The following is a 24,092-nucleotide window of genomic DNA, read 5'->3' as shown; positions in this document are numbered from 1 at the left end:
ACTACATGGAAACTGAACAACCTGCTCCTGAATGACTACTAGATACATAACAAAATGAAGGCAGAAATAAAGATGTTCTTTGAAACCAATGAGAACAAAGACACAACATACCAGAATCTCTGGGACGCATTCAAAGCAGTGTGTAGAGGGAAATTTATAGAACTAAATGCCCACAAGAGAAAGCAGGAAAGATCCAAAATTGGCACTCTAACATCACAATTAAAAGAACTAGAAAAGCAAGAGCAAACACATTCAAAAGCTAGCAGAAGGCAGGAAATAACTAAAATCAGAGCAGAACTGAAGGAAATAGAGACACAAAAAACCCTTCAAAAAATTAATGAATCCAGGAGCTGGTTTTTTTGAAAGGATCAACAAAATTGATAGACTGCTAGCAAGACTAATAAAAAAAGAGAGAAGAATCAAATAGACACAATAAAAAATGATAAAGGGGATATCACCACCGATCCCACAGAAATACAAACTACCATCAGAGAATACTACAAACACCTCTACGCAAATAAACTAGAAAATCTAGAAGAAATGGATAAATTCCTCGACACATACACTCTCCCAAGACTAAACCAGGAAGAAGTTGAATCTCTGAATAGACCAATAACAGGAGCTGAAATTGTGGCAATAATCAATAGTTTACCAACCAAAAAGAGTCCAGGACCAGATGGATTCACCGAATTCTACCAGAGGTACAAGGAGGAACTGGTACCATTCCTTCTGAAACTATTCCAATAAATAGAAAAAGAGGGAATCCTCCCTAACTCATTTTATGAGGCCGGCATCATTCTGATACCAAAGCCGAGCAGAGACACAACCAAAAAAGAGAATTTTAGACCAATATCCTTGATGAACATTGATGCAAAAATCCTCAATAAAATACTGGCAAACCGAATCCAGCAGCACATCAAAAAGCTTATCCACCATGATCAAGTGGGCTTCATCCCTGGGATGCAAGGCTGGTTCAATATACGCAAATCAATAAATGTAATCCAGCATATAAACAGAGCCAAAGACAAAAACCACATGATTATCTCAATAGATGCAGAAAAAGCCTTTGACAAAATTCAACAACCCTTCATGCTAAAAACTCTCAATAAATTAGGTATTGATGGGACGTATTTCAAAATAATAAGAGCTATCTATGAGAAACCCACAGCCAATATCATACTGAATGGGCAAAAACTGGAAGCATTCCCTGTGAAAACTGGCACAAGACAGGGATGCCCTCTCTCACCACTCCTATTCAACATAGTGTTGGAAGTTCTGGCCAGGGCAATTAGGCAGGAGAAGGAAATAAAGGGTATTCAATTAGGAAAAGAGGAAGTCAAATTGTCCCTGTTTGCAGATGACATGATTGTATATCTAGAAAACCCCATTGTCTCAGCCCAAAATCTCCTTAAGCTGATAAGCAAATTCAGCAAAGTCTCAGGATACAAAATCAATGTACAAAAATCACAAGCATTCTTACACACCAACAACAGACAAACAGAGAGCCAAATCATGAGTGAACTCCCATTCACAATTGCTTCAAAGAGAATAAAATACCTAGGAATCCAACTTACAAGGGACGTGAAGGACCTCTTCAAGGAGAACTACAAACCACTGCTCAAGGAAATAAAAGAGGATACAAACAAATGGAAGAACATTCCATGCTCATGGGTAGGAAGAATCAATATCGTGAAAATGGCCATACTGCCCAAGGTAATTTACAGATTCAATGCCATCCCCATCAAGCTACCAATGACTTTCTTCACAGAATTGGAAAAAACTACTTTAAAGTTCATATGGAACTAAAAAAGAGCCTGCATCACCAAGGCAATCCTAAGCCAAAAGAACAAAGCTGGAGGCATCACACTACCTGACTTCAAACTATACTACAAGGCTACAGTAACCAAAACAGCATGGTACTGGTACCAAAACAGAGATACAGATCAATGGAACAGAACAGAGCCCTCAGAAATAACGCCGCATATCTACAACTATCTGATCTTTGACAAACCTGAGAAAAACAAGCAATGGGGAAAGGATTCCCTATTTAATAAATGGTGCTGGGAAAACTGGCTAGCCATATGTAGAAAGCTGAAACTGGATCCCTTCCTTACACCTTATACAAAAATCAATTCAAGATGGATTAAAGACTTCAACGTTAGACCTAAAACCATAAAAACCCTAGAAGAAAACCTAGGCATTACCATTCAGGACATAGGCATGGGCAAGGACTTCATGTCCAAAACACCAAAAGCAATGGCAACAAAAGACAAAATTGACAAATGGGATCTAATTAAACTAAAGAGCTTCTGCACAGCAAAAGAAACTACCATCAGAGTGAACAGGCAACCTACAAAATGGGAGAAAATTTTCGCAATCTACTCATCTGACTAAGGGTTAATATCCAGAATCTACAATGAACTCAAACAAATTTACAAGAAAAAAACAACCCCATCAAAAAGTGGGCGAAGGACATGAACAGACACTTCTCAAAAGAAGACATTTATGCAGCCAAAAGACACATGAAAAAATGCTCGTCATCACTGGCCATCAGAGAAATGCAAATCAAAACCACAATGAGATACCATCTCACACCAGTTAGAATGGCAATCATTAAAAAGTCAGGAAACAACAGGTGCTGGAGAGGATGTGGAGAAATAGGAACACGTTTACACTGTTGGTGGGACTGTAAACTAGTTCAACCATTGTGGAAGTCAATGTGGTGATTCCTCAGGGATCTAGAACTAGAAATACCATTTGACCCAGCCATCCCATTACTGGGTATATACCCAAAGGACTATAAATCATGCTGCTATAAAGACACATGCACACATATGTTTATTGCGGCATTATTCACAATAGCAAAGACTTGGAACCAACCCAAATGTCCAACAATGATAGACTGGATTAAGAAAATGTGGCACATATACACCATGGAATACTATGCAGTCATAAAAAATGATGAGTTCATGTCCTTTGTAGGGACATGGATGAAATTGGAAATCATCATTCTTAGTAAACTATCGCAAGAACAAAAAACCAAACACCGCATATTCTCACTCATAGGTGGGAATTGAACAATGAGATCACATGGATACAGGAAGGGGAATATCACACTCTGGGGACTGTGGTGGGGTGGGGAGAGGGGGGAGGGATAGCACTGGGAGATATACCTAATGCTAGATGATGATTTAGTGGGTGCCGCGCACCAGCATGGCACATGTATACATATGTAACTAACCTGCACAATGTGCACATGTACCCTAAAACTTAAAGTATAATAAGAAAAAAAAAAAGAACAAATAACCTAAAAAAAAATAATAATAAATAAAATAAAAAGCCTACTTGCCTATGCTGATACTAAATGAATATATGACAAGGAAAATACCACGTAAAAGAAATTATAGTTACAAAATCTCTTTTGCAATCATAGAAATAACTGATTACAGAAAAAACTTAATGGATACTAAAACTAAACATATTTAATGGGAAATATAATACTTAACAATCTCAACATGTCACAACTAATTGGTTAATTACAAGGAAAATAGAAACTTTTCAGTGGAGAAGTCTGGCAAACAATATTTTACCAAATTACCAGAGTTAACATTACCGAATCATAGGATAAACTGACATCGTGTGTCTCCTAATGCGATGTACTGAAAATGACATAAAAATGACAGTATTCCTAACAAAATGATCACTTGTATTTAATCATGAGGCAACAATAATAAAAAAATAAGATTAAATTCAATGAAATCACTGGTTAGTATTCTTAAGAAATACCAATGTCATGAATGTCAAAAGATGAGGAAATGAGAGTAAAGAGACATGAAGACTATATTAGAAAATAAAACTTGTGGAAGACTTTATTGAGGGCAACTGGCAACATTTGAATATGAATGGTATAATAAATAATAGTACTTTAATCAATATTAAAGTCCTTTATTTTATAATTGCACTGTATATAAAATAATATCATATTTTAGGAAATACACATACTGTAATATTTAGGAATAAGTGTTCATAATGTCTTCAATTCACTATAAAATTGTTCAGTGCAAAACATTTATACACACATGCACACAGTTAATGTTAAAAAGCTAAGAATTGGTGAATATGGGTGAAGAGAATAAGAAAGTTCATAGAGTTTCTTCCAACTTCTCTATTTATTTTTATGCTTTTTAAAATTAAAAGTACAAAGAAGGATTGAAAGAGCAGGGGAGGGGGGAGTTTTTCATTCATTCTGAACCTTACTCTCATGCCTTTCACAAGAATGGGAATGGAAGCTATCAAACAAAAGGAAAATTAGACATTTTTCATGATGGCACCATAATTGCCACACATTCATCTCCCTTAATGATTTATTTTAAATAAAATGTCATTTGTGTGTGTGTGTGTGTGTGTGTGTGTGTATACATAATATGTGTAATTGATGTGTAAATAATATATTTATATTTATATACCATATTTACATTTATATTAATTATGTGTAGATAATATCTATGGTGTGTATATATATACCTTATATTATATATAAGTGTATATATAGTGTATGTATATATATACCATATATATGGTATACATATACACATTATATTATATATAAGTATATATATGTGCTTATTAACATCTGCAAATACTTTATTATTTTATGAGCTCTATTTTACTATTGAAATGGTAACAATTGCTTTAAAAATGAGAATGCATTAGAATTACCCAGAGAGCTTACAAAAATGAAAATTCCTGGCCACAATCCCCCAAAATTCTGACTCAGGGAATGCACTGTGGGCATAAGCATCTGTATCATTAACAAGCACTCCGGGTGATTCTGAAATAGATCATCAGCAACTTACCTGGTGAGATACACTGAAGCGCTTTTGAGCTTCCTCCCTAGGGAGGCCAGCTGAATCTGGCTTTTGTCTATGAGTAAGTGCACATCATTAGAAGAAAGAAAGTTTCTCCTGAAAATCAGACAGCAACCATTTAAGAGCAGAAAGGGAAAATCTATTCAATCTTGTTCTTATTCTCTAGAACCCAACAGTTAATTTCTTCCACCTTCAATGAAACGTTTTGAATATTTTCCTTCCTGACTCCTCAGCATCTCCTTTCATGACCAGGTAGAAATTAGGGTTTCAGTGCATGCCAGGTATTAGAATTTATAGTCATTCTTTTTTAAGCAATTAAAAATCTACAAAATTACAAATAATAAACATTGTGAACCTGACATTTTAAACTTACAGTTATTTACATTTTGTACTCCTTTTTCTTAAAGAAAAATAAATTCCAGTTCAAGTTTAAATCCCTACTGTTCTATACTACAGGTTCGATTCCCACACCCCATTCCAAACCCCAAGAAACAACCATTATTTGGAATGCAGTGTAATCCTTCTAGTTCATTTTTTTAACCTTTATATGTGCATGTACGCTCATAGCCAGTACACAGCATTTTGAGACTTTTCTTTGTATTTACATAAATAACATAACATGTTTCGTTTGGTATTTGATTTTATTCATCACCATGTTTTTGAATCTATTCATTTGGATAAAGATAAATCTAGTTCAATAAACACGCATTTAAGATATCTAGCTTAAAACAACATGCTAAGATAAATCTAGCATAAAACAATACATATTTATTATCTCACCATGTCCATGGGTCAACTTTACAGCCATAGCTAACCTGGCTGTTCAATTTGGGGTGTGACAGGCTGCAGCCAAGGTGTCTGTTGGGGTTGTGGTCTCATTTGGAGCTTGGGTTTACTTTCATGCTAACTTAGTTGTTGGCAGAATTCAGTTCCTTGCAGTAGAGTTGAGGCTCACAGTTCCCTTTCATGTGGCCTTCTCCATTGGCAGTCCATAACTTAGCAGCTCGATTCTTCAAAACCAGCATGAGTGTCCTCAGGTGTACATGCAAGTAAGACTGAGTTTTATATACACATGCAGTCGCTATTTGAAGGGTATAATGGGAATTCAAAAATTATTATGCAAACTGAAACTAGGTGAAGCATCTTAACAATTGATGAAAAATTATAATTTCCTTATGATTGTTCTGTGAACTTTAAAATTTTTTTGTCAAAACTTTAAAAACTCTTACTCTAAATTGAAAAATTAAAAAATAAAAAATGAAATACATTTAAAATTGTAATTTCAAACTCTGGAAACATTAGGAATTGAAGTGCTTTATTTCTTTGTTTAAAAATATAACTTACCAAGAGTAGATTGAATAGTGCTTGTCTTCCTCTTTTCATCACATTCAAGTGAAATAGCATATTGTCTATACCTTGGTATAATTTTGGTATACCAAGTCAATGACTTTGTATAGTTCTTTTAAAGTTTAAGTCAACTTCTAATGTTTTATGCTTTCCAAGTTAAATACTAGATGTCTCCAAGAGTTCCTTTAATGTGAAGTGTTTTCCCACTATTACTTCCTCTGAACCTTCCTCCCCCCTCCTTTTTTAAATCACAACCGCTTTTCTCATTTATATCAATACATTTGTCTTCACTAAGTTCTTCAGGGTGCATGTCTATATTTTCTCCTTCATGGCCACTTAGAAACTCTGCGTCTTTTTTCATGGAAGTTTTAATGAGATTTCCTTCCAAAACCGACTCCTCTCATCAGCATTAAATATTTCACAATCATTACATCAACCTTAATCAATCCTTGGGATATGGGTGCAAATTTCACAGCTGCATCCTTATTGGCTCCAGCTGCTTCACCAGATAGACTAAAATTAATCAATTTATGCAACTTCTGAAACAATTAAACCACCTTTATTGGCAATAAATTTACTTCTTCAGCCTCAGTAATTAGCTTTTTTTTTCAATGACTTCAAACTTCAAAACTTTGTCTTGAATACTAGACAAACTGATTGGGATTGTTTCTGTCGTAATATTCAACCCAAAGGTGAAATAAATGCTCAATTCCTTATACAATTTTAACAGATGATGTTGAAATAACTTTGCCTTGTTTTTTAATATTCATTTTACTTTTTCAATATCATTGAAAAAAAAGTAGCTTCATGAAAATATTGGTCTTGTCCTATGGTTGCCTTGTCATCTCAACATTCAAATCTAATCTAATCCAATTTCACTCCCGGTATTTTCACTTGTCATTTATTTGCTGTACTTTCATCTTTGGTAGTCAAATCCCTCTATCAATTGTCCATTCCTGTAAAATGGTATGTTGCTTATCACAGGACAAGGAGACAACACAACTATAGGCTTTTCTGTCTCTGCATGAAATGACTGGATTATGTTATGTAATGAACACTTACCAACAGACTTTGACAGAAGTGACATGATTCGTCACTGATCATATATGCATCTGTTATTTACATAGTGATATATAGTCTGAAAAGGTAGCAAAGTTTGTATATTTTCAATTACAGTTAAGATACTGCAGTAACTGAATTTGGATCATGTAGTTGGGGTCTGGTATTATTTACCTAAACTATGGTAACTGAAATTTTTGCATAAGAAAACTTTGCAAATCAAGGAATGACTGTATATCATAACCTAATCATAAGAATGACATTCTATCATCATGACCGTATTCCATCGGTTTTACAAAAGTCACAGGTACCACTCACAATCAAAAGGAGGGGATTATAGAGAACACAGCATCAGAGAGTGAAGATCACAGGGGCCATCTTAGAATTCTGCCTACCTTAAGCATTCATAATTTTATTAGATTCTGTCTAAATCTATAGCATTTGCACTCCTACCTGGAGTATATAAGGAATCTGCCTTTCCACAATTTTACTGGCACTTGCTTATTATCCGATATTTATTTTTTACCAATTTAATAGTTGACAATCTCTATCTTAGTTTAAAATTGCATTTTTAAAACGTTCATTGAAATCTAACATTTTATACGCACTTAAAAATTAACTTCCTTCTAAAAAAGTTGCATATACCCATGGCTTGTTTTGTAACTGTTGATATTTTTCATTTTATTCCTAGGAGAATATAGTTTCTATATTCTATATTCTGGACAGCCAATCTTAGTATACTGTATACACTGAAAATACATTCTCTTAACCTGATGCTTATCTTTAATTTAATCATGTCTTTTATTTTATAGAGAATTTTTACTTGACTGTATCAGTGTTTCCCTTAATGCTTTCTAAAAATGCTCCTTGCAGTCAACTAAATGTTTATTTCCCCCAGAAAAATCATATGTTGAAATACTAACAGCCAATGTGATGCTATTCAGAGGTTTAGCCTTTGGGAGATAATTAGGTCATGAAGACGGAGCCTTCATTTATGGGAATAGTGCCCTTATCAAAGGGATGCTGAGATCTTTCTCACCCTCTTTCCACCATATGAGGATACAGGAGATACAGCAGTACAGCAGTACTGCATATGAGGATACAGGACACAGCAGTGTGTGACCTGGAAAAGGGTCCTCCCCAGAACCTGACCATGTTGGCTCCCAGACTTCAGACTTCCAGCCTCCAGAGCTGTGAGAAATATATTTCTATTGCTTATAAGCCACCCAGTATATGATAGTTTGATAGAGCAGCTTGAATGAATTAAAATATTCCCCAAGCTCTAAACCAAATCTGTTAATATTTTTTCTTCACATAAAAGAACCAAAATATAGACTTAACAATTCATTGTTAAATCATAACAATTATAAATGTATTGCTATAACTGGTTTAGATTCTAAATATCCAAAGTTAAATTTTAACATCAAAAGCAGCTGTGAAATTAGGAAGCATTAAAATGTGTCATTCTTTGCTATATCAACTCAATTCTCCAAAAAAAAATAGTATGCTTTGACAAGAATCCATTAAAATAGGACATAGGTAGAAAATACCAAAGACAATTTCAGATTTGGCTCAAAAAGAACATGGCTGAGATAGGCCCACTTTAGCAATAACTTGGAAAATTTACACCCAAGGTTAAATGAGAAGTGCTACTATTCATTTAAACATTTCAGATACATCAGAATAGCAACATTGTTATAAAATTGCCTACCCTACAAGCCCAAAGTGTCACTCTGAAGTTTGGCTTAAACAGCTTTTCTGGAATATGAAGTCTATTGTTCTTTTCTTCTTTTTTTTTTCCAAGTAGGTTAATACAAAAGCACTTCAGTTAATGGGAAAGTCAAAGATTGAGTCTTTTCATCAAAATGTGAAATAGAAATGCTACAAAACTAAACAAAGAGATCTGTTTATTTGCACACAGACAAATTAAAAATGCATCTTAAAAAACAGCTTTTTCTTGTAGCTGGCTTTCATCTGAACTAATCTAACACACATGCACACACACATTATATATACATATATCTGCACCCATTAAAATATAATTAGAAATGACCTTTAAAAATGGTTTCCCAAGTGCCCATTATATAATTTTCACCAACCTCTTAATGTTATTAAGTTTTTGTTAAAACTGTCATTATGCTAACTGGGTTGTGATTCTTTTACATTTTTACTAAATTGTTCTGAAAAAAATCTCCTGTTTTTAAAATAAGCTTAACTTGTCTAAAACATATTTTTCATATGAAAGATATGCATACATTTGAGAATCTATTTCTGTTATCTATGTACTCCATATCAACATGCAAAGAGAACCGTGTAATTCAGCAAGAACCTCCACAAATTTCTTTTTGACAAATCCAAAGTCTAGATATCTGATAATATAACTCAAAGCTGCAGAGTTCTGGAGTCCAGCCTTCTGCCTTGTGAATTGCAGTTTATTCCCTGTAGGCAATACATCAACCTCTGAAAACCTGAATGAAAATTCAAAAAGAAAAAAAAATCTTCACACATATAGGCTTCTAAATCAATCTTCAAAGGTTTCAATGTATTTTAAAATTTCAGCCTCTGAAATTATCTGCTGAATTTACTATCTTTTTAATTCTTTGTTACAAAAATGTTCAGTATAGAGCTTTCTATTTTCTCTTCTTAAATTATCCTTATGTCTTAATAACTAAACTTTAATAACTAGCACTTATTTTTGAAATCTCATTAGATTGTAAAAAGTGGAGGTATAAGATCTCTCTTCTAAGGTATACTCTTGCTGAACCACTGAGAGCCATAAATGTCTGTGGCATGAAGAATTACCATAGTATTATAGATATAGACAAGCTTATTGTACCCCCCCCTTCCAAATCCATTCCCCATTCTTCTCTATGCTGCTTTCTACCCCCGGGGGTACCAATCTAAAGGGACTGAACAAAAGGGTTTTATTGCCTTAAGACTTCCAATTGGGTTGAGCCAATGGAAACCCTAGCAGGAGGTCTAAAGGAAAGAAAATTGGATTCAGAGTATTTGTTTCCATGGCTCCCTTAGGACATTTGCCCAGAAGTCACTGCACCTGGCAAAGCGCCAACTCGTACTCATTTTCCAGGTTCCTGAAACTGTTCTGCCTGTTTCAGGCTGAGGGATAGTAATAGCTTGGCAGTTACTATCTCTATCTTGCTCCACAGTACTCTGTGGTTCCCATACTCACACACTTGTGAAGTAAATTGTGTTTTTGTCAATGAACTTGTCTCAAATTATTCTTCTTTGAGTGTGTCATAGTTTTTTGGACTCCAATACATTTGCCATTACTTGAATCACTAATTCTGTAGACCAATATTAAATATTTAACATGGATACACCCACTTTTTTTCCTAATTCATTTAGTGGACATTAACAGCATGACAACTGTCTCATAGCATTTGTGACATTTTTTTACTGTCTAAAAGAAACCTTGAGAGAATCAGATTGAGTATACCCTAACCAGTCACATGAACTGAGCGTGGTCATAATTCTTTCATGTGTATTGTAGAGTGTGAAAATATGGAGCATGTGTTGGTGCTGAAGTACTAGGGACCAGAGGAAATATTTGAGTTGTGTCCAAAAGGAACCACATGGATGGTCTACACTATAAAAGAGCAATAGATATTCCATGAGGAGAGAAAAGATGGCTCTGAGACAAGAGAGATTTGCAGGATATTACAGGGCCCCTACTGGTGTAAAGTGTTCATGAGAGCTCTTTGAAGAAACAGGTGGCCTGAGAGGTGTAAATCACTGGATGAGAGATCTCTGTGAAGTATGGATACACTGCTGGAAAAATATCAGCAAGGACTGCCTGGGATCTCATTGCTCTGAAAAAACAGGTAAAGGAAAATTGGTATCAAGTGCCTTCTACAAGGAATAAGATCTACCAGATTGGATATGGTGCTGCAGACTTGGGAAGCAGGAAGTGATTCTATGTTAGGTCATTCTTGTGTTGCCTTAAAGAAATACCTGAGACTGGCTAATTTATAAAGAAAAGAGGATAAATAATCTCACAGTTCTGCACAGTGCAAGAAGTGTGGTGCCAGCACCTGCTTCTGGTGAAGGCCTTAGGAAACTACAATCACGGCAGAAAGCAAAACCAGAGCAGACACTTCGTTTGGTGACAGTGGGAGCAAGAGAGAGGCAGAGAAGGTGCCACACACTTAAACAACCAGATCTCACATGAACTCAGAGAAAAAAATCACTTATCATCAAGGGGATAGTGCTAAACCATTCTTGTGGGATCTGCCTCCATGATCTAATCATCTCCCATCAAGCCCCTCCAACATTGGGGATTACATTTCAACAGGAGATTTGGATTAGACAAACACCCAAACTGTATCAGATGTCCACTCTTGAAGTTCAGTCCTCCACAGGCAAGGGTCCAGGGTAGGGCAGGATAAGCAGATGGTCTCCCAACATTTTCCCATGAACCTCATAACAGACTCCAATCTTGTCCTAAAATGCACTTTTGGTGTAGTGAGTTTGATTGCAAGGGATCAGTGTTATGTACTGGTACCACTCTCAGATGCCCCAAAGTAAAGAACAGATTTAGGATTAAACAAAAATGAATTAAGACTTTATGAGATGAAAAAAAAAATTCTGGTTTTTCACACCTGTGTTAAAGAAGAAGCCCGTGTGGCAAACTGCTTTTGAGAAAAGCATCTCAGTAAATCCTCTTGCTTTCTGAAGTTACTGAAGACAGAGACTCTGGAGTGAGGAGAAGCAAACACACATCCCTTACACAGCTTGTCAAACATATGGAGAAGATCCAGCTAGAAACAAAGCCCATCTCCCAGTCTCCATCCTTTGTGAATTCTGTTTCTATTATATGAATCACTACAGAGCTGACTGACATAGACGGGATCAGATATAGCCTGGCTGCTTCCAGGGCAAAGTGCCTGCAAGGAACAGGGAACATGAACATCCTCCAGGTAGAAATCAGGAGGAAAATTCTCCCAAACAGGACCTCACAGATGAGTTTGAGCACCCTTCAAGGAAATGGGGGTTGGATTAGGAGAAAAGCCTTTGAGTCTTTAGTTGGTGGAGGGCTAGATAATGCTAGTAAATATCATGTGAATGTTCTTACTGAATTTTTAAAGAAGGAACATGGCCAGGCATGCTGGCTCATGCCTGTAATCCCAGCATTTTGGGAGGCTGAGGTGGGAGAGTCACTTGAGCCCAGGAGTTCAAGACTAGCCTGGACAACACAGGAAGACTCTGTCTCTACACAAAAATAAAACAGAAACATACTATTATGCATGCCTTCATTGAATAGATATTAATATATTACATAAGTGAGCCAAGCACTGGTCTAAGCACTAAGGGTTTGGCACTATGCAATACAGACAAAGAAGAAAAAAATAAAATAAAAATCCTTGCCTTTATAGAACCTACATTCTAATCAGGAGAGAGAGACAACAAACAAGATCAATGAGTTAGGAACATGGTAGATTTGAGTGGTGATAAGTGGTGAAGAGCAGATCAAACTGAGACTGGGTCTAAGAACACGTGAAGGCAAAAACTGTGGCAACAACTGCAAGAATAGGGTGCCAAGCATAGGGAAGATCAAGTGTGAAGGCCCAGAAGAGCAGTTTTATGTTCCAGAAACAGCACAGAGGTCAGCACAGCTGCTGGGGAATGAACCAGATGGACAAGAGCAGAAGAGGTCAGAAAGCAAAGAGGACCTAGATCTTGGGAGACCTCTGGGAGACTTTGGCTTGTATGTAGAGTGAGACAGAAAAGTTGGAGGCTGAGGGCAAGAAAGTGACATGACCTGACATTAGTTTGACCACCATTCTGGCTGCTGTGTTAAAAAATGACTGAAAAAGAGCAAGCTCTGAGCAGGATACCAGTTAAGATCCACTGAAATAGCACAGCCAGAAACCACTGGGGCTTGGACAAGGTGCCAGCAAGGGAGGTGGTGAAGGCCAGTCAAATTCTGGCTGTGTTTTAGCTGTACAGACAGCAGGTTGTGATGGCCAAACTGCTGGTACATTTCCTCCTGTGCCAGAAGGGGTCTCTTTCACAATGTTCCACCTACATCAAAGCAGCCAATGTAGATTGGCTGAGGGCAGCAAATGTTCGCTGGTTAGGGATTAGGAACTTAACATGAAAAGAAACAGTATTTCAACAGGGTAGAATCCTCTCAAGTGAAGGATTTGGTTTTAACAGATTTATATTTCCATAACATGTTAAGGGATACACAAGAACAACAGCAATAACAAACACATCTTTCAAGAGAGATAGGGGCTGCTAATTGCAAGGCTTTAGATTTTCTGAGTGTGTCATGCTAGTTGAGAGTGAAGGCTAAAAAGATAAGAATATCGGGCAAATTTTTCCAGTGGTGTGGTCGTTTTATCCATAGCACTCAAAGGCAGAATGCCAAGGATCTGCAGACCTACAGGGCCTTCTAAAAATATGTCAGGCCTGAAAAAATCATCAGCTCCAAAACACGAAAAGAAAACTGCAAAGTGAAAATTAATAAATATTTAATTAAATTTTAATTAAATGCCTACAAATGCATAACCTATGTCAACTTCATTAATTGTTAAAATTTGAATTCATAAAAAATGTCATGATGCATGAGAACAATTTTAGGTTATATTTTCTCACTTTGCAAGAATCCATAAGTTATGATTAATGCAGTACAATCAGAGCCAAATGTAATTTTATTATAAGTCACTTCTAGCAAAATAATTTCAAAAGCAATATTATACCAATCCTTTAAAACTGTTTACTGCAAAAAGTCATTTGGTGTGTTGTTTGGGTGTTATATCTGAGAAAGGGGAGGCAAAGTGTCTGACTGAAGTCAGAGGGAATCTTCAGGGGCAATGGAGATATGACCCAGAGAGACTTTGTTTAATGTCTTCATTCCCCATGAAGTCTTCAGGGAGAAGTCTAATATCTTGTGGAGTTAAAACCCACCAAAATGCTGATCCTGTTTCAAGGTAGGATTGGAACAAGATCAGAGTCTGTCTAGGTAGGGAAAATTAAGTCTGGGTAGCTTTGAATTATATTAAATATTGACTCTGACCATGCTTTAAATTAAACAAGCTAAAAACAATAAATGTAGAGATGACTGTTTTGGAAAAATATAAACTGAAGTTTTGGTTTTTGTTTGCAAAATGTTTGGATTCATTATGTTCAAGAATGAATGTTTGTGCTATGTTTATAATTTGTAGATTGTCTGACAGAAAAAAATAAAGCTTACTGCTTTAAAAATGAACACGAAATCTTAGAAAAAGGAATGTTACAAATTAGTTACCCAGAAAATTTTTTCTGGCCTTAACAAAGGAAAAGCTACAAACGACAGCGGCATGTACCACTTCCATAACAAGGCCAGGATGGAATATACTGACAGGAGTATTTCCACAGTTAACAAGAGGGAAAAAAAGAAGTAAAAATAGCTTTTAAAAAAACTTTCAGCAATAAATTGTCATCTTATTAAAAAGTAAGTTGCTGGGATACTGTATGTATTAAATCATTGCAATAATGGGAAGATTTGCACCAAGATTTGCAGCCATTATGAGGCCATGACTAGAAAAGTCACCATTATTCAAGTCTGATCACTTGAAATGCCAAACTTTTAACACCTCCCTTTCCTATTTTCCAACTGAAAATGAACCTCCTTTCCAATCCAAAGAAAATATAGGAAATGCAGTGAGGATATATCTTTTTATTATTATTATTGTACTTTAAGGTCTAGGATACATGTGCAGAACGTGCAGGTTTATTACATAGGTAAACACGTGCCATTGTGTCTTGCTGCACCCATCAACCTGTTATCTGCATTAGGTATTTCTCCTAATGCTATCCCTCCTCTAGTCCCCCAACTCCCCACAGGTCCCGGTGAGTGATGTTCCCCTCCCTGTGTCCATGTGTTCTCATTGTTCAACTCCCTTATAAGTGAGAACATGCTGTGTTTGGTTTTCTGTTCCTGTGTTAGTTTGCTGAAAATGATGGTCCCCAGCTTCATCCATGTCCCTGCAAAGACACAAATTCATTTTTTATGGCTGCATAGTATTCCATGGTGTATATGTGCCACATTTTCTTTATGCAGTCTATCACTGATGGGCATTTGGATTGGTTCCAAGTCTTTGATATTGTGAACAGTGCCGCAATAAACATATATGTGCATGTGTCTTTATAGTAGAATGATTTATAATCATTTGGGTATATACCCAGTAATGGAATTTCTCAGTCAAATGGTATTTCTAGTTCTAGATCCTTGAGGAATCGCCACACTGTCTTCCACAATGGTTGAAATAATTTACACTCCCATCAACAGTATAAAACTGTTCCTATTTCTCCACATCCTCTCCAGCATCTGTTGTTTCCTGACTTTTTAGTGATCACCATTCTAACTGGCATGAGATGGTATCTCATCGTGGTTTTGATTTGCATTTCTCTAATGACCCAGTGATGATGAGCTTTTTTCAATATGTTTGTTGGCTGTGTAAATGTCTTCTTTTGAGATGTGCCTGTTCATATCCTTTGCTCACTTTTCCATGGGGTTGTTTTTTTCTTGTAAATGTGTTTAAGTTCCTTGCAGATTTTGGAGATTAGCCCTTTGTCAGATGGATAGATTGCAAAAATTTTCTCCCATTCTGTAGGTTGCCTGTTCACTCTGATGGTAGTGTCTTTTGCTGTGCGGAAGCTGTTTAGTTTAATGAGATCCCATTTGTCAATTTTGGCTTTTGTTGCCATTGCTTTTGGTGTTTTAGACATGAAGTCCTTGCTCATGCCTATGTCCTAAATAGTATTGCCTAGGTTTTCTTCTAGGTTTTTTTTGGTTTTGGGTCTTATGTTTAAGTCTTTAATCCATCTTGAGTTATTTCAGGCCAATATCCCTGATGAACTTCGATGTGAAAATCCTCAATAAGATACTGGCAAACTGAGGATGTATCTTTATATTTTTTATTTGCTGTCCTATTTTTAGTTCCTATTCACTACAAATCCCTTTTTTTTCACTTTCTATGGGAGGGGGGAATAGGTTTTTACAAAGTTTTCAAACATCTTTTTTTTAAAAAAATAATTTCAGGGTATAGTGGTCTAAAAGACATCTTATTCCCAGACAAAATGCAAGGCTCTAAAAGCTCATTAAAATCACTAGGCGGTGAGAATAAGGGAGCATTCAAGGGCTCTCGCCTCGCCTGGGATTCCAACAGGTTTGTGTTTGAATACCTCTGCTCCTTACTAACTAGCCTTCTCACTAACTTCTGTAAGACATAATTCCTTATTTGGTAACTCATAGGGTTTTTGTAATAATTCTATTATAGGATATATGTAAAACTTTATCAAATGTATGAGGTCAGAAAGCTACACTGAACCACATTATGTCCAGTTCACTAATGTATCTTCGAGAGGAAATTATATAAGAGATAAAGTTTAAAATCTTTTATATTTATATTTAAAATATTTACCATAAAATTTTTCATTATGAAGTTATTTAATCTATCCAGAATAAACTTTCTAACCAACAAACACAGCACACTCTGATGCTTTAGAGTAGGTGTTAAAGGCCATAGAGTACCTTAACCTTTAGATGGGATGTGATGGCATGTGATGGCCCATTAGTTATCTCCTCATTATCAACACCTACCCTCTCCCGAGACCTACTGTGTATCTGTCCTGTGCTGGGCCTCATCAGTGGTGCCTGCTATTCCCTGACTGTGATCTGTTGCTCTGGGGTATTCCATTTCACTCTTTACTAGGATTGGTTGTATTCAAAGAAACTAAATCTAATGTGTTGATCCTAGATCTTATTACTGAACAAATGTCAGCTCTACCACCCCACTCATCTCGTTACAGCATCTTTTAGTTATGCAAATTGGATATGCCTCATTCACTAATGCTGGTAACCTGTGAGCCCCCATTGGGAGTTAGAGTCACAATCCACAGATTAAATGAGTTAGTAATCTTGAGTACTTTCACCTGTGCTCAGCACAGTGTTAACATCATATCAATATTGGCTTTTAAGAGCCAAAGAAATAAAAATCATCAATTGGTTTACCACATGGGTAGAGGTACAGAATTCATTTTGGCTTGAAAAGTAAGGATTTGACTCAAGTCTTAGGCAGATGGAGCACAAAATTATTTTCTTCTTTAATGCATGTTACAGGCCATTAATAAGGCTTAGAATTCCCATTTGTGCGCAGATATGAGTAACCTCAGCAAATTGAGAAAGTAACCCCAGAATTGTGTGGGATGATAAACTGTTCCTGTTCCCTTGTATCTTCCAACCTACACTTAGAATTAAGCACACAAGAACATTTGAGAGAATCTACCCCGTTACTTTTATGTATTTGGTTAAGGAATTAGTGCTTGTTCGGTATTTTATGTTCCTTAAAGTTTTAAAGGAATTTAACCCATAAGAATAAATTAAAATGTCTAACTCAGTACTGGATTTAGGCTTATATTAAAGTTTAAATGTTATCATTTATCTATAGGATTGGAACATTAATAGCCTTTAGGATTCAATATATCTATAAGTTTAATCTACTGAAAGTTATTTAAATACTCAAGATTTTGTTTAAATCAAACAAGAAAAATATTTTAAAAGGAAATCAAATATGTTTTCTATATAAATGCCATTTTTAATGTTTGTAGATGTTTAATTAAATTGAAAAATGAGATAAAATTTTATTCAAAAGTCTCCTTAAAGTGATTATTACAATGTGCTAGACTATTATAATAAACAGAATAAAAAATTTTGTAGAAACTACATTTTTTATTTTACAACTACAATGAGTGGAATACTAATTTTTAAAAACATCCACAATGTCTTTTGTTATTATTCTCATAATTATCACTATCATTGTATTTATTGGTCTGCTAGAACTGCTGTAATGAAGTACCATATACTGGGTGGTTTATTCAACAGAAATTTACTGTCTCACCATTTTGGAAGCTAGATATCCAAGATGAAGGTGTCCTCAGTTGTAGTTCTTTAAGGTCTGTGGGGGAGAATCTGTTTCATACCTCTCTTATAGTTTCTGGTGGTTTGCTGGAAATCTTTAGCATTATTTGGCTTGTACAATAATCATCCTCATCTCTGCCTTCATCTTTACATAGCATTCACCCTGTATGAAAGTCTCTCTCTACAATTTCTCCTTTTATAAGGACACCAATCACATTGATTGAGAGACCATCTAATGTCCTCATTTGTCCTCAGGGAGCTCAACATAACTGTCTTGAAAAACACAATTCAACCCGTAACACTGCCTATCACAGGTTTTCAACATTTCTTTCAAACATGTTTAAATTATTCTCTTAATTAATTTGTGTTTTTCTTATATAATATACCAGGGTTTTTTTTTTGTTTTTTGTTTTTTGTTTTTTTAAGACAGAGTGTTGCTCTGTCGCCCAGGCTGGAGTGCACTGGCGTGATCTGACCCACTGCAACCTCCACCTCCTGGGTTCAAGTGATTCTCCTGCCTCAGCCTCCCGAGTAGCTGGGATTACAGGCACGTGCCACCACATGCAGCTAATTTTTGTATTTTCAGTAGAGATGGGGTTTCACCATGTTGGCCAGGATGGTCTCGATCTCTCTTGACCTTGTGATCCACCCACCTCTGCCTCCCAAAGTGCTGGGATTACAGGCGTGAGCCACCGCACCCGACCGTAATGTACCAGTTTTTAAACTGATGACACACAGTACTGTGTTCAAATCCTGGCTCTACCACTTGTCCTGTGATGAAATTACTTTCTATGTTTTTGTTTCTATAAAACAAGAATGGTAATATACTCCTTGAAGTGCTATTATGAGAATTAAAAAAAATTAAAGTCATCCAGAATAATGTCTTATAAACAATGGAATCTCAGTTAGTGAAAGCTTCTGCCACTACTATTACAATATCTATCTTTACTGTTTCTTATTCTTGGAGGCAAAGAAATATCTGTTCTTATGAGTATTTAAGTTGCCAATTGTTTTAGTGTCCGTTGGTTGGTCTAACAAATTATCACAAACCTAGTAGCTTAAAGCAACACCAATTTATTCTCTTACTGTTCTGGAGGTAGGACAGAAGTCTGAAATGAAGCTCAGCGGACTAAAATCAAGGTGTGAGTATGCTGATTCCTCCTGGAGGCTCCAGGGGAGACTCTGTTCCTTGCTTCTCCCAGCACCTGCAGGCTGTCATCACTCTGGCTTGTGGCCACATCACTCCAACCTCCGCTTCCATCATCATCACATTGCCTTCTCCTCCCTGACTGTAATTCTACTGCCTCCCATTCCTAAAGCCCCTTATGATTATATGGGGCCAACCAGAACAATCAGCATAGTCCCTCCATCCCCAGATTCTTAATTTAGTCAGGGCTTCAAAGCCACTTTTACCATATAAGGTAACATATACACACTTATCATCCTCAATTTATGATGATTCTACTTATGATTTTTTGACTTTACAATAGTGTGGAAGTTATACCATTGAGTAGAAACTGTACTTTGAATTTTGAATTTTGGTCTTTTCTAGGGCCAGAGATATGCAGTACAATACTATCACACAATGCTGGGCTGTAGCATTGAACTGTAGCTATTCATCAGCCATAAATTACAACGGCAAACAAGTAATACTCTACAGTGTACTGTGTGGCCAAATGATTTTGCCCAACTGTAGACTAATGTAAGTGTTTTCAGCACTTTTAAGGAAGGCTGAGCTAAACCATGATGTTCCTTAAGTCAAGTGTATTAAATGCATTTTTGACTGATGATATTTTCAAGTTATGACAGGTTTATCCATTGTAAGTTGAGGAACCTCTGTGTTCACAGGTTCTAGAGATTAGCACATGGACATCTTTGGGGGGACATTTTTATTCAGCCTACCGTGCCAATTTGGATTAAAACATTTTTTCCGCCATCTTAAAATAGGAGTTCTTGTTAAGTTATAGAATATTTCAGAAGAATGTCAACAATGTGTGCCTATGTAAGTGTGTGCATAAGATGTGTTAGGGGAAGTAAATTTTTAAGTTATGATGATATGACTTCAATAAATATTAAACTAAGAACAAATATATTTTAGCATTAATATTTTCAATTTAACAAAAACTAACATGGGATTTATAACATTTCTTTAAAAAGCTCAATGTGGTGTTAGTATAACCCAAATAATTTATGATTGTGTCACTGGTTAAATTCACTTTTAGGTACTATGAAAAAACAGAATATTTTACAGATAAGGAAACTGAGACAGAATGGAGGATGGGAAATAGGGGCGTATGTGACATTATACAAAAAAATGTCATGGTACTGCCAAAATAGAATCCTGAGTTTCAGTTCAGAGTTGAAGAAGAAAATATTATTTCCTTGAAAAGGGATTTCACCCTACCTCACCAAGTAAGGTAGAGCATTACTATCTCAGAAGGAGGCATATAAGTGTCTGATAAGATTGGGGTCCAAGACCAGGAAGAACTGAGGATACAGAGGTCCCACATGGTCCGAACAGAAATGGAGCTGGACATCCCACAGATGTCTCACATAGCTGCAAAGCACAGTGTAAGGAAATTGAGCCCATTACAAAAAGCAACAGAGGTAGACATTAATCTTCAGATTCAAAAGTTCAGCTAGCACCTCCTCCTTCCCCTTCCACAATTTCTCACTGGCATGTCTACATGTTAAAATTTAAATTTAGGAACAATTTGGAGTTAGGACAACGCACAGAATACAAGTAAAGAAAAAAATAAACCTAGAATGAGAAGCAGGAGACCAAGATTTTTAATTCTAATAATATGGAAGATAAGATATCATTAATATCATCCTACTTCAAAACACTAAGACATTCTGGGTAATATATAACAAATATCATTTTAAATATACAGCTTTGGTCCTGAGAAATCAAGGGGATTTCCCCAAGGCCAAAAGTAAAGAGAAAGTTGAAAGCCAGAGAGTTAAGCTGATGCTTTCACTGCCTTGGAAGCAGTCAGTTTTAAAGGCTTTCCTTAACTTTAAGCATGTTAATTCAATTATGCACGTAAAAGTTTTGAGAATGAAATCACCATCAAAAAGTAGAATATCTCAACCAGGAGTGCAGAAATTACGTATATGAAAAAAACAGAGAATCAGGGAACTACTTGAGGGGCACAGGTGAAATACTTTTTATCTTGGACCCAGCATATCCTTTTCAAGCATTTGACAATAAATATCACACAAAATATCATTTTGGGGTGGAATGATAGCAAAATTTCAACGCTCTGTTTATGCTTAAGTCATGCTCTACAGGGTTGTTTGATGCTTATCATCTCTAAGAATCTGTCTAAAATTTAGCAAATCTTTGGTTATAGTGTTTACCTTCCTTTTCTCCCTTCTTCCAATGTCTTCCCTCTTTTTTCTTCTCCTTTTCATCTTTAGCTAATGCCAATATCTGTTTAATAAATATTATTGCCCAGCTGATTTTATCCTAAAACTTATCAATGTGTCTCTTACTTCATCTTGTGTCTCACCTACAACCTTCCTCTGGGGGAAAGAAGTCCCTCTTCCCCCCACCGCCCCACTTTGGTGCATGACCAAACTCATAATTTTACTGCTTTGGATTCTGGCACTTAGGAATCATTACCTTGCATAATTCTCTTTCTCATGTCTCTTCTCTCTCTCTCTCTTTCTCCCCCACCCCCCGAATTTAACTTTGCTCGTGTTTCTCATAATAATAAATCGAAATAAAACCTTTTCCTCCACGATTTTATAGCCCTCTTTTCCATCTATTTTTTTCTTTTACTAATCAGCACTGCTGAAAGCATAACCTACACACATTTTCTATTTTCAAAACCTTCATTTCCAAACCTCCAAATTTCATACAGGCTGTTACCCCCTTAATCTTTCTTACTTGACTAAAACTCCTTACTCATGCTCAGTAGTGACTTGCTTGATGTTAAATCCAATGACAAGTTTGATTGTTGATCTTTACTGTCTTCTCTGCAGCTTGGAGCATTAATGATCCACTCCTCCATCTTAATCACTTTCTCTATCTTGAAAGTGTTTTTTATTGTGTGTGTGTGATACTATTGTTTTTTAAAAATTCTGCCCCTACTGTGACAAGAATTTCCAAATTCCCAATCCTCATTTCATCTAAAGCACTACATAAAGGAATTCTCCCCCAGTCAGAAAATAGAGGAAGGATATTAGAAAATTAATGACCTTCATGGAACTGTGGCAAGTTAATAATCATTAGTAGACTCAGATTTAAAATCTTACTCATGGCAATAAAAGAAAACCTCATGTTTTCTCTGTTTATCTGTTTTATTCTTTTCTTTCACTGTCATTTTCTTTTGTTCTGAAGTTCTTTTTGGTCATTGATTTACTTGAGATTGCATTTCATGTCTAATATTTACCTATGCATGAAGCAGTGATTTGTAAGCCTTGAGTACTAGTCAGGTATTTCAATTTAGAAGCAATTATTTGATATAGCAGATTTAAAACCATAATTTACTAGGTATAAACTTGTGTAGAAACCTGAAATTCTGGTAATGAAGAAATAGCCACAATGTTTAGGATCTTCTAAGTCAAAAAATTCAACAAGAAATTTAAATTTCAATTCAATTCAACAAAGAATCCTAACTCAGATTGTGTAAGGAAAACATTATTAGGACTGGGCCCATGAACTTTGATGCTCCAACACAAAAAGACTATGCTCATGTAAAGTTTACCCAGAACCTTTTCCATAAGTATGTCTTCTACTAACACAATATTTCCATAGAACCCTGAATTTGTTTGCAAACTCTGTTCCAGAAGGACATTATGTTGAGTACACTGGACTATATATTGGTGGTTATGAAATTTTTTAAGAGACAGATATCATAATGTCTAGTGTGTTTCCAAATTGAATTTCAAAATGTAGAAGTTATTTGTGTAAATAACCATCCTGCTACATCAGATAATTTCAATTTATTTCTTTTTGCTTGATACAGTTTATTGATTAGACCCAGTACAGAAAGTAGGACTGAATTTGATGGCATATCTCACCACAATGGGATGAACTACGGTGTTCTTAAATAACTCAACTAAGGCACATGAAGAAAGCTATCTTTTTCACTGGTACTCTATAAAACTAATGAAATTACCCTTAATAAGCACGGAAAATGTTCTGACTCTTATAGAATCCCATTAAAACTTGAAGAGATTGATTGTTCTTAGAAATAGCCTTTGCTTCTCCTAAAGTTTCATGGAATTACATATAAAGTCTCCTATACCCAAAGAACCAACTTTAAAAAGTTCTTACAAGCTGACTGTCCTCAAACTGCCAGCTAGAGAAGCAAGAATGTCAACTAAACACTACCAAGATGTATTGCTTTACAAAAACAAGCAAACAACAGTCATTAGTGAGAAGGTGATGTGAGAGTGTTCAGAAAGAAGTGAATGAGCCACTTATTGGAAACATACTTCAGTTACAAATACCAGATGTTATTATCCTATTTTCCACATATAAATATGAGGCTGAGATAGTCAGTGTAAGAACTGAAATTAGGAACTCTATATTAAAGTATGCATAATAAATTATCTCTTAAAAATAATATAAAATAAATATTTTTTAAGAAATAAATTTCTAAGAAATAATTATTGCATGACAATTAGACTGCAGTGATGGAGCTAAGCATTGATGGGAATCAGAGACATATTTTGCACAATAACCAATCTCAAAAGCCTTACAATTTAGCACAGAAAAAGTAATATGCATTCATAACACGACTATGACACAAGGTGACTAAGATATTGCCATAATAGAAGTACAAACAAAATGCTCTTGTAACAAAGAAGAGGAAAACATTTTTTTCAATAAAGTGATTTTTGGGTGAAGCATAGGAATTTTACTAGTATTTCACAGGAGT

At 35.7% G+C, this 24,092-nt stretch overlaps 1 long non-coding RNA gene across 1 annotated transcript in view; it reads right to left on the bottom strand.

Annotated features, from left to right (window-relative positions):
* The window catches only part of LOC105377899 (uncharacterized), a 198,745-nt gene that overhangs the window by 10,278 nt on the left and 164,375 nt on the right, over window positions 1–24,092 (bottom strand). The window contains exons 4-5 of the long non-coding RNA XR_001744262.2: window positions 5,649–5,949; window positions 4,857–4,964 (exon numbers count right to left, since the gene is read on the bottom strand). This is a non-coding gene — a long non-coding RNA (uncharacterized LOC105377899). The remainder of the gene's footprint in view (window positions 1–4,856; window positions 4,965–5,648; window positions 5,950–24,092) is intronic.

This window comes from Homo sapiens, chromosome 6 (assembly GCF_000001405.40).
Source record: "Homo sapiens chromosome 6, GRCh38.p14 Primary Assembly".
NCBI classification, from domain to species: domain Eukaryota; kingdom Metazoa; phylum Chordata; class Mammalia; order Primates; family Hominidae; genus Homo; species Homo sapiens.
This window is presented reverse-complemented; position numbering and strand designations above follow the sequence as displayed.